Source organism: Homo sapiens, chromosome 7 (assembly GCF_000001405.40).
Source record: "Homo sapiens chromosome 7, GRCh38.p14 Primary Assembly".
Lineage (NCBI taxonomy): Eukaryota > Metazoa > Chordata > Mammalia > Primates > Hominidae > Homo > Homo sapiens.
This window is the reverse complement of record NC_000007.14, coordinates 35,119,066-35,137,721: the sequence shown is the minus strand read 5'-3', so window position 1 is coordinate 35,137,721 and position 18,656 is coordinate 35,119,066. Positions and strand designations below refer to the sequence as shown.

At 34.1% G+C, this 18,656-nt stretch overlaps 1 pseudogene across 1 annotated transcript in view; it reads left to right on the top strand.

The window, feature by feature from the left end:
* DPY19L2P1 (DPY19L2 pseudogene 1) overlaps positions 1 to 18,656 on the top strand; it is a 106,187-nt pseudogene that overhangs the window by 48,454 nt on the left and 39,077 nt on the right. The window contains exons 12-15 of the transcript NR_002833.3: positions 5,353 to 5,412; positions 13,644 to 13,724; positions 16,114 to 16,215; positions 18,002 to 18,073. The product of NR_002833.3 is annotated as a DPY19L2 pseudogene 1 (transcript). The remainder of the gene's footprint in view (positions 1 to 5,352; positions 5,413 to 13,643; positions 13,725 to 16,113; positions 16,216 to 18,001; positions 18,074 to 18,656) is intronic.

Sequence of the window (18,656 nt, the reverse complement as noted above, 5' to 3'; positions counted from 1 at the left end):
GGGTGTCACCATGTTGGCCAGGCTGGTCTCGAACTCCTGACCTCAGGTGATCTGCCCGCCTCTGCCTCCCAAGTGCTGGGATTACAGGTGTGAGCCACCACACCTGGCTGTCTGTTTTATTTTTTGCTTTGAGTACTTGTTTTACTTCTGTCCAAAAGGGTTGTTATTAAAAGTGTTACAAGTTTTGATACATTATAAACGTATCGCTTTCTCTTGAATACTTTTTATCTTATTTCTTTTTTTATTTCTAAAAGTTTCTTCTCTTCACCTTTTATAGCTCTTAAGGCATTATTATTATGTTCATTTCCTCATATTCCTTCTAGTTTTTTATGTCTGAAATTATTTTTGTTTTATTTCAAATTATTTGATTTCTGTCAGCTCATTTCTCAGTTTTTCTAATTTTGATTTGTGTCATTCTTTCACATATTTTAGTATTTTTAAATATCTTATTTTAAATGGCTCATTTTGAAATGTAAGTTTTGCTTAATTGTTTAGTCTTTCATCCTTAAGTAACTGCGTTAGCTATAGGATTTTTCAGAGAAGCCCTTTATCAGGTTAAAGAAGTTCCCTTCTGTTCAGCTTGCTGAGTTTTTTCAAAAATGAATTTTGAAGATATGATATCATATAGTTTCTCTTTTCTGTTTTGTTAATGTGCTGCATTATATTGGTTGATTTTCAGATGTTGTGGCATCTTTGCATTCCTTGAATAGACCTCACTTTGGTCATGCTGTTTTATTATTTTTTGTTGGATACAGCTTCCTAAAATTGTACTTATGATTTTGCACCTAAGTTCATGACAATAATTGGTTCATAGTTTTCTTGTGACATCTTTGTCTTATTTGGTATCATGGCAATGCTGGCCTCATAAAATGAGCTACGAAGTGTTCCCTCTTCTCCAGTTTTCTGAAGAATTTGTGTAAAATCCTTATGATTTCTTCCCTAAATATTTGGTAGAATTTACCAGTGAAACCATCTAGGACTTTCTTTGTAGGAATGTTTTTAACTACAAGTTCCATTTCATTAATAAGGTATAAGGCTATTCGTGTTATCCATTTCCTCTTGAGTGAACTTTGGTTGTATCTTTCAAGGAATTTTTTTATTTACGATGTCAAATTCATTGACAAAGGCATAATATTTTATTTCTTTTATGTATCTATAGTATCTGTAGTGATAGTTCCTCTTTCATTCCTGGTATTAGATGTTTGTGTTCTATTTTTTTTTTTCTGATCAGTCTGGTTAGAGGTATATCAATTTTATTAATTTTCTCAAGGAACCAGCTTTTGTTTTCATTGATTTGCTCTACTGTTTTTGTTTTCTGTTTCATTGATTTCTACTCAATCTTTATTACCTCATTTCTTTTGCTTACTTTGGGTTTTGCTCTCCTTTTTTTCTAGTCTTTTTTTTTTTTTAAAGGTATAAAGCAAGGTCATTGACTTGAGACCTTTCTTGTTTTTTGTTTTTTGTTTTTAAACACAGGTGTTTAGTGCTATAAACTTTTCTCAAAGTACTGCTTTATCAACATCCCACATATTTTGATAAAGTACATTTTTAAATTTATTTCATGTTGTCATACATTTTACTTAAACGTGATATAGAAATCTCAATAAATTTTTGTTTTTATTTAAACAGTAAATTACCTTTTAAAAGTATTTGAAATTTTTAAAATGTTATATATTTACCCTGTAGTTACCATTTTCGGTGCCTTTTACTTGTGTACAGCCAGATTGACTTACTGTATTCCTGCTGTCTGAAAGACCTCCTTTAACATTTCCTTTAGTGCAAATCACCTGGTCATGAAGTCTTTATTTTGCCTTCGTTTTTGAAAGGTATGTTTCCTGGGTGTAGAATTGCAGGTTAACAGCACTTTTTTTTAAGAATTTAAAAGATGCTGCTTGACTTGTCTTGTTGTTTGCATTTTTTTCTTATGAAATCTGTTGACATCCCTACACTTTTGTCTGTAAATAATATGTTACTTCTCTAGCTATTCCCAGCTAGAGATAAGATTTTCTCTTTACCACTGATTTTGAGCAGTTTGTTTATATAATGTGCCTTACTATAGCTTTCTTTATGTTTCTTGTATTTAGGATTAATTGAAATTCTTAGATCTTTAGGTTTACAATTTTTATCAAATTTGGAAAAATTTTGGCCATTATTTCTTCAAATATTTTTCTGCCTCCCCACCTCACTTTCATTAAGGGACTCTCATTACATGCATATTGGGCTGCTTGAAATTGTTCAGTGGTTCATGGAGCCTATGTTTATTTTTGTTCTTTATTTAATTTTGGATAGTTACTATTGCTGTGTCTTCAAGAGTTCACTAGTTGTTTTTCTGCAGTATCTAACCTGTTGTTAATCACATCCAGTGTATTTCTCTTTTAAGTCATTGCAGTTTTCATACTAAAAGTTCATTTTGGATCTTTGAAGTATTTTTGTGTGTCTAGTTAACATGTTCTTTCTCTGTTACCACTTCTTCACCATGTGTAATACAATTATACTAACTGCCTCAGTGCCTCCACCTGCTAATTCTGTCATCTGTGTCAGTTTCAATTAATTGTTTCTTCTTCTCATATCAGGGTTGTGTTTTCTTAAGTGTTTGCATGCTTGGCAATGTTTACTTTGATGCCAGGCTTTGTGACTTTTACCTTGTTAGCTGCTGGATTATTTTCTTATTCCTATAGATATTCGTGAGCTTTTTTCTGTGATGCAGTTAAGCCACTTGAACATAGGCTGATCTTTTCAGGTCTTGCTTTTAAGATTTGTTAGCTGGAATTAAAGTACTGGTTAGTTTATGGCTAATATTGCTGCTCTCTGAAGCAAACTCTTCTGTGTAGACTACCTGATGTGCCCTTTGGCTGCACTATTTTATATTCCCACCAACAGTGCATAAGCATTCCAATTTTTCTACATTTTTGCCAAGACTTGTTACTTCTGGTTTAGTTTTGGTTTGTTTTGTTTTATAATGACCATCCTAACAGGTTTGAGGTGGTATCTCATTGTGGTTTTGATTTACATTTCCCTGATGATAAGTGATGTTGAACATCATTTTAAATACCTGTTGGACATTTGTATTTATTCTTTGGGGAACTGTTTATTCAAGTCCTTTGCTCATTTTTAAAAGAAATATTTGTGTGTGTGTGTGTGTGTGTGTGTGTGTGTGTGTTGCTATATTCATCAGAGATACTGGCCTGTAGTTTTCTTGTAGTATCTTTTTCTGGATTTGGTATCAGAGTAATGCTGGCCTCACAAAATGTGTGTAGAAGTGTTCTCTTCAGTTTTTTGGAAGAGCTTGAGAAGGATTGGTGTGAATTCTTATTTAAATGTTTCATAGAATTCTCCAGTGAAGCCATCTGGTTCGAGGTTTTCCTTTGTTGAGAAATTTTTTATTACTGATTTAATCTCCTTATTATAGATCTGTTGAGTTTTTTTTGTGTTTTCATAATTTACTCTTGGTAGGTTGTATGTTTCTAGAAATTTATTTCTTATAAGTTATCTAATTTGTTGGCATATAATTGTTCATAGTTGTCTCTATAATCTATTTTGCTTGGTATTTTAGTTTTTTAGGGTAAGAAAGTAAATGTGGTTCCTGTTATACAAACTTGGACAGAAGCAGAAGTTTCATTCTGATTGATTTTAGTTACTTTGGGTGAAACATTACCATGTTTCAATGAGGAAGATATATATATATATATATATATATATATATATATATATATAAAATTATACTCAGAAAATACTTCCCACTATTCCTTCCAGCACATTCTCTCCACCTTTCTTTTCACCCTGTTACTGTCTATTCCCTGTAGGTAAGAAATCTCATTAGTTTTCTGGTTGACCCATTTAGTTGGCTTTTTAAAGTACTAATAACTGTTACATGTATATTTTTTATATCTCCTCTTCTTATATTAAAGATAGTCTTTTGACTTTTTTTTTTTTTCATTTAACAACCTATCCTGGATATCAGTTCATAGAGATTTTCCTCATTCTTTCTGGTAGTTTCCTAGTGTTCTGCTTTGGATTTACTGTAATTCAGTCACTCTCCTATGTCTGGGCATTTAGGTTGTTGCCTAACTTTTGCATTTACAAACAATGTTGCAATGAATAATCTGATACGTTTATATTTTCCTATTGGAAGTTTAGTAATCCTGGCTAACTTTGGGAATTTCTGCACCAACTAAATGATAGAAAATTGGAGTCCAAGTCTAAATAATACCCAAGTCCGAGAATTCAGTTTCTCATGAGAGCACTGTTTTCACCCCAAACTTGGGAATAAACAAATAACCTATCAACTTGTAGAGATGGTAGGTGAAGTATTCTTAGTCACTGTGTGTCTTAGTCAGTTTGGGCTGTTATAACAAAAGTACCACAGACAGGGTGGCTTAAACAACAGGAATTTATTTCTCACAGTTCTGGAGGCTGAGCAGTTCAAAAATCAAGGTGCCAGCTGATTTGGTTCTTGGTGAAAGCCCTTTTTGTGGTTTGCAGACAGAAGCCTTCTTACTGTGTCCTCACATGGTAGAGAGAGACATCAACTCTCTAGTCTCTTGTAATACAGGCACACTAATCCCATTCATGAGGGTTTCACCCTCATGACTCAATTACTTCCCAGAGGCCCACCCTCCAAACACTATCACACTGGGGATTAAAGATTCAGTCTGAATTTGAGGTGGACACAAATACTCAGTGCATAGCACTGCAGGTATAGTTTTGAGGACCCTAGCTTTATGTATTAGTCTCAATTCCAACTTCTTACCTTGCATAGACCCAAGGCCTCTTCTGCTGCCCTCCCCCTTACAATACAAGGCTATAGTTGGAACCTTATTCTACAGGCCTTTATAAAGACTGCCAGGGGTGGTAGTTCTCTGCTGATTAATACTGTATTTTTTTAAAAATAATCTTTTTTCTAGCATCGGAGAAGTTCTTTCTCTTTCACATGAGTATACATTTTTTAAACATGTTTAAATATTTTATTCGGCAATTTGGAGAGGAAGGATTTTCATGTTAGTTTAGTTCACGAACGTTGCTGGATAACTGACATACAGACTTGCATGGATGCTCTCATCTGCTCACATACCATTTATCTTTGTAGAGGAATTATCCTGCAGAAAATGGACAGGGTATTTAAGTGAGGAAATAACGAGGCAACTTTTTGACACACAAACCATTTAACTTTCACCTCAAGGGAATTTGCCAAAATTTGTCAAAAATTTGAAAAATCAACAGTTAAGGAGGAAAATGGCTGGTGATAGCTGAGATGGAACAGGGTGGCTATATAATTTTTGAAATGTACCATTTATACAAAATATAAATGTTAATTGTATTGAATTGTTTCATTTTCCCTTATGTGCATTTTAGGCAATAATTCTAAAGAGAAATGAAATTCAAAAACTGGGAGTATCTAAACTCAACTTTTGGGTAAGATTCAATGTTTTTAATGCAGTTTATTTAAATTCTACTTTTTATTTCTGTAAACTGAACACAGTTAATATGCTTTAAAATGCTAATGATTTATAGTTAATAAATAGCTACTGTCTTAAAAATAGTTACTATCTAAGGCAGATAGATATGTAAAGAAATAGTCCTTAGCAAGGACTAGAAATCATTTTCAGGAAGTTAGCTCACATATTTCACAACTAACTTTCAGGCCACTCTTCCTTTATGTTTCATTCTGCTATATCCATACAGCCTTGCTTTTTAAAATTTGTTTGTCTTGAGTTTCTCTCTTTAGCTTCAATTAACCTTCCCTTCAACATAACTCAAGTTTGTAGTTTCTTGCCAGCTTTCTCCTTTTCTTTCCTCTGCATCTGTCCATCATCTGTCTCTCTTTCCTTCTGCTTCCAACTTCAGACTCCATTACTTTTGTCCTTTTAACATTTTCCTTATGGTCTCCCAGCCCCTTCTAATTTGAACTCAGCCACTACCTAATTTTTGTTTGGCTTCTTCCCAAATATGCAGATGGATGGCCCATATTACCTCCATGGTTTCCTAGTAAAATAAGTTATTAGGCAGGTAGTGGAACTCCTAAATTCTCTTAATATGAGACAGACAATATTCTTTTTCTCTGGTCTGTGATGTTCTTCTATTAAAAAATAAACCCTGGGCCACACACACTGGCTCACGCCTATAATCACAGCACTTTGGGAGGCCAACGTGGACAGAGAGCTTCAGCCCAGGAGTTTGAGACCAGCCTGGGCAACATGGCAAAACCCCGTCTCTACAAAAAATAGAAAAACTAGTTGGGCATGGTGGCATGAGCCTGTGATCCCAACTACTCAGGAGGCTGAGGTGGGAGGATCGCTTGAGCCCTGGAAGGTTACAGTGAGCCATGATTACCCCATTGCACTCCACCCTGGGTGACAGAAGAAATGAACTGTATGTTTACATGTTATATATTGAAAGGATAAGTCTGGAAATGTTACAAGTTGAGGAGATAGGTTCCTACCCACAATACAAGAGAACAAAATGGAAGGAGTTGCTATTTTCTTCTTGTTGGAGGCATTCTCCCATCCTTTATGGTGAAAATATAGAAAGATTTGTCCACTAAGTTGTTGAATGAATGGCATGATGCTTTTTTTGTCTTTTTATTATTCTTTGTTGGTTCTACCAATTTGACTCTTTACCCAGGCCACCTGTCCTTAGGCAGGCAAGCTTTGTAGAAATTCACATATTGACATTACACTTGTAATATATAATTCTTTCACTTCAGAAAAATTGAGCAATTTAATAACTCAAAAGGAGGTCAGAATTTCAGTTGCAAACTATTGAAAAATGACAATAAATAGAAGAGTGTCCATAAACATCAAAAAAAATTCTGCCAAGGCTGCACTCAAAGGAAAATTAACTGTCTTCATTTTCAACAACATTTTCAGTAGTAGACTGGAAAGAACATGAATTGACTAAGTTTTAAAATCAAGAATATCAAAGAAACAAAAAATCTAAGGAGGGAAAAGTTGAGATTTAACCAAATGTTCAGCTTACATGTTTTTTAAGCCCCCTAGGTATTATTTTCTGTTTTTAGCTCTGTATATCTTTGGCAAAAATAAGTATTTATTACACACAACCTGAACAAGGTATTTTTAGATCTAAGTGATTCATTTTAGAGTTTAACGTCAATAGAAGCAAATTCACTATTTAATGGGAGACTCCAGTTTTTGGTAACAAAGTAATTATTGAATTGAGCTCATGCTGAAATTTACAAAATTTACAAAGGGGAACTTTGTGTGCATCATGAGGCATGAGAATCATTACAAGAAGGGAAATGGAACCTCCAAGATAATCTGAAGCTCAGTACTAAGGCCAGATAAGGATAGTATGAGAAAGGATATTCTTACTTGTGAGCATAGATTCAAAATTTCACCTAGATTAAAAACATTCCTTACACACAAAAGTGTAAAAGATTAGTAACTCAAGAACAGCCATATATGTGATAAAGATAATCCACTTGTGATAAATCTGGCTTATTCTAGGAATCCAAAGACGTTTCTGGAAAATCCAAAAATGTAAGTTATCACACTAACAGATTAAAAGAGAAAAAATCTTATGATCATCCCATTAGATGCAGAAAATAAAATTGATAAAATTGAACACCCATTTATAATGAAAACATGTAACACGATAGAAATAACAGTTTTCTCAACCCAGTAAAATTCTTCAGCAGTCATTAGTCTTACCGATAATAAGGTATTTAGAGTGTTCTGTTTAAAATCAATATAAAGATAAATGTGCTTTTTCACATTTTATTAAAGGTCCAAACTAGCCTAGTAATGCAAGAAAAGTAAATAACAGGAAAAGGAAAGAAACAGAAAGAAGCAAAATTTATTATAGTATTATATTTACCTAGAAAGAATAAAATAATTGACAAATTATTAGAAATTAGAAGAATTCAATACCATGGCTAGATATAAGTTTAATATTAAAAAATCAATTGCATTTCTATTCTTTGGCAACACACAGAAAACATATTTTTTTAAAATATGCCTTATGTATTAGGAAGAAAAATGCATAGGATCTGAATGAATCTAACAAAATACATACAGTATTTGTATGGGGAAATTTATTTTAAAATTTCTAAGATATAAATAGAAAAATAAAACACATTTATATGTATGAAGGTTCATGTAATTCAGTTCTCCCCAGTTGATGTTCAGATTCAAAGCAATTTCAGCAAGATTGTCTTGCAGGTCACTTTTCACTAAATGATGCTGGAATAGTCTATCTATATGAAAAAAACCAGATGTTATACACAAATATCAGTTCCAGGCCTAGCCATTTTGAATGTTCCTAAGCTGGATGTCTTTTTGACATGTCTTTATAAATTTATAATGCTCCAGGCTTTTCTTGATTTTCCTCGTGCTAGCCTTGGAATCAGCCATTTTTCCAAGGAGCCCTGGTTCCTTTTAGAGGAGAATGGTATTTGGAAACCAAGACCTGAGTGGTATGTGCACTCATTACTACCAGTGTGTCCTTGTTTCTAGGCCCTTTCACTGCACGTATGTGCACACGTGTGTGTGTGTATGAAATAATTATTTCATAATTATAGCTCCAATCCCAGCCTAATGCTATAGAAAGGCAGACTAGTTAGGTACCTCAGAACTCACAGAAAAACACTACAGGCTGCCATCTCCTGAAACTCCATCCAGTGGCAGAAGACACTCAGAAAGAGGGTCCAGGGAAATGCTCTCCATGCTGTGGGTCTGGTATCTACTATTCCCTCCAAGAAGGCTGCCCATGCAGGTAGCAGCAGCAGGGATCTAACAGATGCCCTGCTAGGACTAGGCAGCCCAGGAAAGAGCCCTCTGCTCTTTACCGACCTCCTAGCCCACAATCCTGGTGTCTCTCAACCTCCACCTCATGGCAACAGGACATGGGAAGTACATTCTTCCTACATTGGTAGCATGATTTGAGGCTGAGACGGAGCACCAGGGCACCAGATGAATCAAGCTGACCAGAATAGCACTGGTACTGCAAAGGCTCTGAAAACTAAACTGTCATTGTAACTATAGCAAACAGAAGTAGGCCAGGACTTGCATGATAAACCTAAAAACAAAGTGACTGTCTGCTGAAATAGAAATTTAAAATAGGATCCACAGTCTCTAACATAAAAAATGTACTGGACACAGTAGAAAAACCACTCATCATAGCAAGAATGGAGAAAATAACAACTTGAATGAGAAAAGACAGTCAACAGATGTCAACACTGAGATGAATAGGATGTGGGGATTATGTGACAAGGGTTTTAAAGCAGTCATCATAAAAACACTTCAAGGAGCAGTTTTAAATACTCTGGAAGCAAATGAAAAGGCTATAAAATCTCACCACAGAATTTTTTTTTTAAAGAACAACTTGGTGATTATAGAACTGAAAAATACAATAACTGAAATTAAAATTTAATAAATGGACTTGGTAGCAGAGTGAATATTACAGAGGAAGCAATCAGTGCTCTTGAAGACAGAACAATAGAAATCTCCCAATCTAAATTGAGAGAAAATCACAGGAAAAAGGACAGAGCCTCTGGGACCTATGGTGTAGTAACAAAAGATCTAATATTTGTATCATCAAAATTTCAGAAGGAATGGAAAAAGAGAGTGGGGCTGAATAGCATTTTAAGAAATAATTGCTAAAACTCCCCAAATGTGGTGAAAGACACACCTGCAGAGTGAAGATACTGAGCGATTCCCAAGTAAGACAAACCCAGAGAAATCCATGCCAAGATACATTATAAGTTAACTTTTAAAATGAAAAGAAAAAAATCTTGAAAGCAGGTATGGAGAAATGACACATCACCTACAGGGCAAAATTGAGTTGAATTGTAGCAGACTTCTCAGGTGAAAGTAAGGAAGCCAGAAGGTTGGGGCAGAACATTTGTCAAGATGAATTACATATCCAGTGGATGTTTCCTTTAGGAATGAAGGGGAAATAGACATTCTCTAATCAATGAAAATTAAGATAATTTGTGGCTAGCAGAGAACCTTAAAGAATGGTTAACTGAAGTTCTTTTGTAAGGTTTGTGGAAGACCAGATGGTTGTAGATACGTGGTTTTATTTCTGAGTTTTCTATTCTCTTCCATTGGTCTATGTGCCTGTTTTTGTACCAGTACCATGCTGTTTTGGTTATTGTAGCCTTGTAATATAGTTTGAAGTGAGGTATCCTGAGGCCTCCAGCTTTGTTCTTTTTGCTTAGGATTGTCTTGGCTGTATAAACTCTTTTTTGATAGCATGGAATCAACCCAAATGTCCATGAATGATAGACTGGATAAAGAAAATGTGATACATATATACCATGGAATATTATGCAGTCATAAAAAGAAATGAGATCATGTACCTTGGCAGGTACATGGATGGAGCTGGAAGCCATTATTCTCAGCAAACTAATGTAGGAACAGAAAACCAAACACTGCATGTTCTCACTTATAAGTGGGAGCTGAACAGTGAGAACACATGGACACAGGGAGGGGAACAACACATACTGGGGCTTGTCAGGGGAGGGTAGGGGAAGGGAGAGCATCAGGAAAAATAGCTAATGAATGCTGGGCTTAATACCTAAGTAATGGGTTGATAGGTGCAGCAAACCACCATGGCACACGTTTACCTATGTAACAAACATGCATATCCTGCACATGTACCCAGAACTTAAAATTTAAAAAGTTCTGGAAACAAAAAGGAGATGCAAGAAGGAATCCTAGAATGTAGGGAAGAAATATAAAACAGCAAAATAGATACACAGAGGGGTAGATATAATAGACTATTCTTCTCATGAGTATTTCCTTTCATGTACTTTTTTTGCTTTATTTTGTTATTCTTTATTTAGATTTTTAAGTCAAGGATTTAATTCATTTATTTTCACTCTTTCATTTTTATTGCTAAAGCTTTTGAGGCCATGAATTTGCTTCTTATCCTTGCTTTAAATGTCTTCCTTAGTTTCCATATGGAAATGGCATTTGCCTGCCATGCTGCTGCCATCATTCTATTTTTCACCTTTCTGAATCTGTTTTTGTTTGTCTTCCCTGTGTAGCATAAATGGAGTCTGTCTTTGCTTTGTGAGATAATGTGAAAACCTTTGTTGTAAGTTTTATGTGTATTTGACTATATTTGCTTTGTTTCTGTATATGATTCTCCTTTATTTTAAACTTTTTGAATTTAGGAAAGTTACTGTTATTTCCTCAATTGTTGCATATTTGAAACTTTTTAAAATAACGTCTGTACTTGAATGACAGATTGGCCAGATATAAAATCCTTGGTTCTCAATTTTTAAAGTTTCTTAAAAATGCATCTACACCACTGCTTTGGTTTGTATGTTTCTTTTAACAAGTCTGATGCTAGCCAAATTCTTCTGTCCCTTATAAATTATGTGACTTTTGTGCCTGGAGGTTCTGAGGAATTTTTCTTCATTTTTCATAGTTCTACTGAAAGATGTCTTGAGTTAGTTTACCATACCAGATTAATTTTTTCCAGTACCCCCTGGATCCTTTCCAAATGCCGATTCAGGTCTTCTTTTATTTCTGGAAAGTTTTCTTGGATTATAATTTAAACACTAGTTTTGATTCATTGCTGTGGTTTTCTTTTTCAGGCACTCCAGTTATAATTATGTGCCTTTCTTCTATTTCTACCACTTTCTCTGATACTTCTCACTTCTTTCTCTGGTACTTCTCACTTCTTTCTCTGGTATCATTTTCATTCTTCATCATTGTTTTAGTGCCTTTACTTCAATTCCTTCATTATTTGAATTTTTCTTTTTATCATCTTGTGATTCAGTTTTTATTTTTTTTTTTTGATAGTATTCTCCTTTTCTTCCATTCCCTTTCTATGTCTAATAAACTATTTCTTTCTTTCTGCTTTTTTCCCCATTTCTGTTCTTGGTTTTTGAATTTCTTGTTTAAATTGCTTTTTTAATATTTCTGAATGCTCGTTTGAGGATATTTAGTTCAACTTTTAATTCTGCATAATTTTCTTCTGTTTTGTGAGATTTTATCGTTCAGTGGTGTGGATTTCATTAGCTGAAATATTTGACTTTCATGTTTGTTATCTTTTTAAAGAAGCTTTGGATATTTATATAGGCATTTTTTCATCTATTAATTATTTTGTGTTTTCTAGTCCAAGTGCAAACCTCTTCTGAAAATGTAGCATAGTGTGATTTTTTTCAATGAATAACTTTTTTCTTTTTTTGTGCATGATGGCAGTAGTGATGGATAGTCTTTTGGTTTGGGTTCTCATTTTTCCTGCTGGATACTTTTTCCTTCTTGCACTCCCCTTTTTATCCTCCTTTCTTTCCAGAAATGATGCCTTTCTAACATCAGTGTTTTTGTCCCTACTCACTCTTAGGCCCTGCTCTGTACTCCCATTTACCAATCTCCCAGAGCTCTTTTTACACATAGGATGGACTTTTCTCTTTCTTGGGTTATTTTATTTCCAATTTTGACCCCTGTCTTTCCTTTTCTTCTTTATCCTTCTATGGGTCTCCCCTCATTCTCTGCAAAGGCTTAGGTCAGGGACTTGAGGTATAACTCTATAGATTCGTTGCCTCCTTTTCGATTCATAGGTAATTTGAAGTTTTTTTGCCATGTATGTGGTTGTATTGCTCTACTTGTTGGTTGATATATGCAGAGATTTGAATTTAGGCTGCTGTAACTTTCCCCAGGCTAACCAGAAGTACACAATTGTTCCCTTTTTAATCAAGGCTAGTCAAAAAATAAACAACAACAACACAGAAGCCTCATTGCCGTTCTAGTTCATATTCCTCTTTCTTAAAGGAAAGCTTAAGTTTTCACATTTCAAACTGTTATTTCTTGAAGATGGGCTCATATATTTCCACAGGAGTGGTAGAAGAACTTTTAAGGTAGTGTTTTAAAAAATGGATTTTCAGCTGAGAAATAATATTTGGAAACAAACACATAAACACTCCCTTTTCTTAACAGAAATCAAAAGGAAGTAACCTTTTAAAACTTCCTTTAGATTGGCTGGGTGCAGTGGCTTACGCCTGTAATCCCAGCACTTTGGGAGGCCGAGGTGGGTGGATCACGAGGTCAGGAGATCAAGACCATCCTGGCTAACACGGTGAAACCCCGTCTTTACTAAAAATACAAAAAATTAGCCGGGCGTGGTGGCGGGTGCCTGTGGTCCCAGCTATTCGGGAGGCTGAGGCAGGAGAATGCCGTGAACCCGGAAGGCGGAGCTTGCAGTGAGCAGAGATTGCGCCACTGCACTCCGGCCTGGGGGACAGAGCGAGACTCCGTCTCAAAAAAAAAAAAAACTTCCTTTAGATTTGGGATACGTATAAGCAGCCACTTTTCCGACGCACACGGGGTTTTTTCTTTGTTCAAATCCCCCCTTCCTCTGTCTCTGTACGGGGAGCTGTTTTCTTCTTCCTTCTTTCTTTCTTGGCTATTAACCTTTCACTCCTTAAGACAAAAAAAAAAAAAAAAAAGATTTAGGATATATAGAATTCTAGTGTTGCTATATATTTTATACCAGTGTCATCAGTTTTAATTCTTTGCTTTTAAACAAGATTTTCTAAAGGAACTTTTTTAAAAAAACTTCACCATTTATACCTCACATAATTAAATTTTTTCTATGTCATTTATAGATATAATTGAATACTTTAGCTGGGTGATTTGTAGGTTTAAATACTGGACTTCTATTTTATTTTCTAGCTAATTCAAGGTAGTGCCTGGTGGTGTGGAACAATCATTTTGAAATTTCTGACATCTAAAATCTTAGGCGTTTCAGACCACGTAAGTACTTTTTAGGTAAAACATAAAAGTTCTTATAAATATGTAGCTGAATGAAAACTTTGAAACCATCTATTCCTATCTCTTCATTTTACAGAGGTTAAGTGCCTTCTTTAAGGTCTCTAGACGAGTTATTGGCAGAGTCAACAATAAAGTCTTGCAGTTCAGTGATCTTTGCAACCCACTAAAAAGAAAAAATATTCATGAATGCTGACTTGCCCTTTTAGTAAAAAAAATACTAATAGTTTGTTAAGTAGTTATTTGTTTATATTTCAGTTAAAATACAAATAATTAGTTGTTTACATCATAAGTTATCCATTTATTGCAGATGTTAACATATGGGAGGCTGTCCCCAGCTTTGAAAATATAGAACTCTTAAAATCTCAGTATTGTTTTATTTATTTATAACTATGGACTAAAATCAATGTATGATTTGATGTTTTAAGGCCTTTCTTGTTATATAAAAAGAGAATGTTAAAAAATTTTGATCTTTTCATTTTCTAGGAAATAAATGCAGAGCATTTATCTCTCATGTAGTATTTCTGTTTGTTAATGTTTTAAAGAGTAGCCCTTTTCAAGGCCTAAGTCCCTGCTTAACTAACTGGTTTAGGGAATAGAAAACAATGCATGAATCTACTTTTTATTTCTAGCACTTTCTGTTTAGAAATAAGCATACATGAGTATATCATACAATAATCAATTTTGAAATTTACCTCATTTAATGCTATCCAATTAGGGCCCTATTTGATGCTGAAATTATGTACTTTGGCAAGGGATTATAGTATTACTTCTCTAAAAGGTCAAATGCTGTCTCTATGCAATATAACATGCAACATGTTTATATTAAATAAAATTTCTAAATGTAAACATTTGCCATTTATTGCTAGTTTTGCATGGTGGTTTATTAGTTTATTTGTTGCTGCTGTTCTCTGGCATGTCTGACACATTTCCCCATTCTCCTTTCCTTTTTATTGTTTTTAACTTTATTATATATGTCTTATGATAAACTTTATTTAGACCTTCTAAGTTATTTATTTGTCTGTTAAGTTTGTTCATGATTATGTTTCTTGCCTTACTTCACATTGACCCCCAGCTCTTTACAAATCTAAATCTTTTTTTTTTTTTTTTTTTTTTGAAACACAGTCTCACGCTGCCACCCAGGCTGGAGTGCAGTGGCCAATCTCGGGTCACTGCAACCTGCACTTCCTGGGTTCAAGCGATTCTCGTGCCTCAGCTTCCTGAGTAGCTGGAATTATAGGCACGTGCTACCACACCCGGCTAATTTTTGTATTATTAGTAGAGATGGGGTTCCAGCATGTTGGCCAGCCTGGTCTCAAACTCCTGACCTCAAGTGATCCGCCTGCCTTGGCCTCCCAAAGTGCTGGTGATTACAGGTGTGAACCACCATGCCTGCCCTACAAATTAAAAAAAAAAAAAATGCAAACACACTTCCTTGGTAGTCCTGAGTGACTTCCTTTATGTGACAGTTAGGAGGAATACCTGAAATTATAGTGGTTTGGTTAAATTACTGTTAGTCACCAGGCCTATTCTAAATTAGAAAAATAAAGTGCAACTCTAAATTATCCTTGAGTAGTGGTAGATTAGGAAAAATAATTGAATGAAAACCACTCATAATCATCAAATTTGTTATAAAATAATTTCTGTCACTATAAAATAATTTGAATTAAGAGTTTACTTGCCAAATATTTTCCTTTTTCTGGCCTTCTGAGGATGCTGTGGAAAAATAATTGTCTCACCAAGAGCAGGTTGTAAATAATCAGTAGAAAAATAGAAGTTCTGCATTGGGTTTGGTTGTTAGTATCTACTTTTAGCCTTGGAGATCAAATAGCTAAGTCAAAGATAAAAGTGGTATGTATAATTGTTGTAATTCTTATGAGGATCAGGTCTCATATTCAATGGTTTGAATATATGTCTGTAAAACATCAAGAAGTACCAAATATTGTAATCAGTCTGCGAGGCTTTGTGAAAATGACAGTGCACAGAAAGCTTATGACCTACAATGTATGTTGAAAGAGATTAAGTAAAATAGTTTTTCATGATAAATTGTCTTATTATAAAATGTAATTAACTACATGGTGGTTTCTTCTCAGCAGATATTGATTTTAGCTCACTCTTTATCATCTTCTCTTTATTTTTTCTGACTTCTTTCTACTTTTCATTTTTCATGATATTTCTCTTTATTTTCAGTTATCTTGAGAAGTCAGCACATGGTATATTTGGTTCACTGTAGTTTTTTTCTTAGAGGGATGTCTAAATACATTGGATTTATCTGCTCTATAAACTTTGTTATTCTTACATCAATAAAGTATTACTGGCTGTAGGCTATAATCATTTGTGTAATTTTAATTCATTTTACTTTATTTTCTCCCAGATTCGCCTGAGTGATCTTATAGCAGCCAGAATCTTAAGGTATACAGATTTTGATACTTTAATATACACCTGTGCTCCCGAATTTGACTTCATGGAAAAAGCGGTATGAATGTTTCCTTTTTCCTTCTTTACTAATATGAGTTTTTGCTCTAGGTTTTTTTAAAATCTGAAACTCAAAATTTTTGCACAGAAACAGTCAACTTATTTTATTTTTTTTACTGTAACTTTTGCTAATCTACCTTCCTCACTTGTTTTTTTGTCTGTTAAAAAAAAAAATAGCCTCTATCTTATAGAGTTATTGATGATGGTTAAATGAGATAATCGGAGAAGAGTGTTTAACATACTATATGACCCATAATAATTACTATTATTACAAATCAATTACTTTTAATAATCTAGGCCACTTGGAAATATGGGACCATTCAGGAAAAAGTCTAAATTCTTGTTTCTGTTTTTAAGAAATTCAGTTTTATTACAGTTAACACCCCAAATATTATAACATTTTTAACAAGATGTTATCAAGAAAGGTATGCTACTGATGAGTTTTAATGAACATATAAAAATTCATTTTAAATTATACAAATGCAAGGTATTATTCTTTTTAAAAAGTTAATGTTATAAAGCTTTAAAATATAGGCTGGGCGTGGTGGTTCATCCCTGTAATCCCAGCACTTAGTGATGCTGAGGCGGGTAGATCACTTGAGGTCAGGAGTTTGAGACCAGCCTGACCAACATGGTGGTAACTCCATCTCTACTAAAAATACAAAAATTAACCAGGCATGTTGGTGCATGCCTGTAGTCCCAGCCTGAGTAGGAGGCTGAGACAGGAGAATTGCTTGAACCCTGGAGGCGGAGATTGCAGTGAGCTGAGATTGCACCAGTGCACTCCAGCCTGGGTGACAGAGTGAGACTCTGTATCAAAAAAAAAAGAAAAAAGAAAAAAGAAAAAAAAATTGGCCTCTTTGTAGAATCATGGAACACAAGATCAGGAAGGGCTCTTAGAGACCATGCCATATAGTTCTTTCATTTGCAGATAAAGAAAAGCTTAAAAGATTTGCCTAAGGCACACACAAGCCAAGATCAGGACATGGATTCTAATGGATTCTAGAACTCTCAATCCAGGGCTGTTTCCTCTATTTGTAGCTTAATTTTCTTCATAGAACATAACAAAGTTGCTACTGGATTGATTATTCCTTGTGTAATCATTATGAATTCTGAATTAGTGGTAAATAATAAAATTTTACATCCTTCTCTTATCCATCCAACCAGTCATCCCATTCATTCAAAAACTATTATTGACCACTAGTTATCCATGAGGCAGTTTGCTATAGCACGACAAAGAGGAAAATGAACTGGTTTCTTGCTTTTAAGAAATGTATAATTTAGTTACCTGGTAAATTACTCCTTATCATCACAATAACAGGTCATCAGAATTAGTTAGCCAATGTTATTTCTGTACTTATTCATAGTTTTAGTCATTAACTTTGATTAGCTTTCTTTCTTGTTAGCTCTAGTTTCACTAATGAAAATAATGGAGCTGTGTAGTACAGAAAGTTACAATGTAGGACCCAGGGATCGGTAAACACACATTTTAAAACTTAGTATTATGTAAATAAAAAAAGAAAAGAAAAAATAGATATAGCAATTCTAGTTTTATTAAAATAATAAATTTTTCATTAAATTTTTGGAATACTTTTTATAACTATTTTTATAATTTTAATTATTTTATTAAGGCATGGAAGATAATAAATATATATTCTGCTGATGACAAAGAAATTTAACCTTTTACTTTTAAGGAATGTTATCATGGCACTTAGTTTGACATAGATGTTTACTAATTTAATGTAAAAATTGTAAGTAACTATTTTGAATAATTTGGTATATTTCAGACTCCACTGAGATACACAAAGACATTATTGCTTCCAGTTGTTATGGTGATTACATGTTTTATCTTTAAAAAGGTATTTTTAAACAAATTATTATTTGTTTTTGGCATCAATATAAGGACTATAATAATGCAAATTGCTCAGAATTCCATGTTATTTTTAGGATGAACTCTTTCTGTCTCTAAAAGTTTGCTTTTTGTTTAGATCTTTCATCATCGATCTTTTTATAAAAAGCCATGATAAAAGGTATTCTTATTTTTTCTCTCAAAAGATATATACCAGTCACCAACTGTGTATCAAGGACTACATTAACATTGTAGGTACACCCGGACAAATAAAACGTGGCCGCTCCTGTCTTGGAACTTACAATCCTGGATTATTGGGGGTGGGGGTGCAAACATGAAGCAAATAATCACACAAATGTCTAAAGAATTAAAATTTTTATAGGTGCTATGATAGAAAAGTCCAGGGACAACAATGTTAATATCTTTCAAATATAAAGCACGGTGAAGTCTTGATCTGTTTTGAGTGGGCCTGCGTAGAAGAAATTTGTATAGCTAATTAAAAAATACTTTTCTACATGTTCACTGTTTTCATGACAGAAGAAAAGAACATCTCAATGAAAAAAATAATCTTTAAAATACCACTGGTAGGTTTT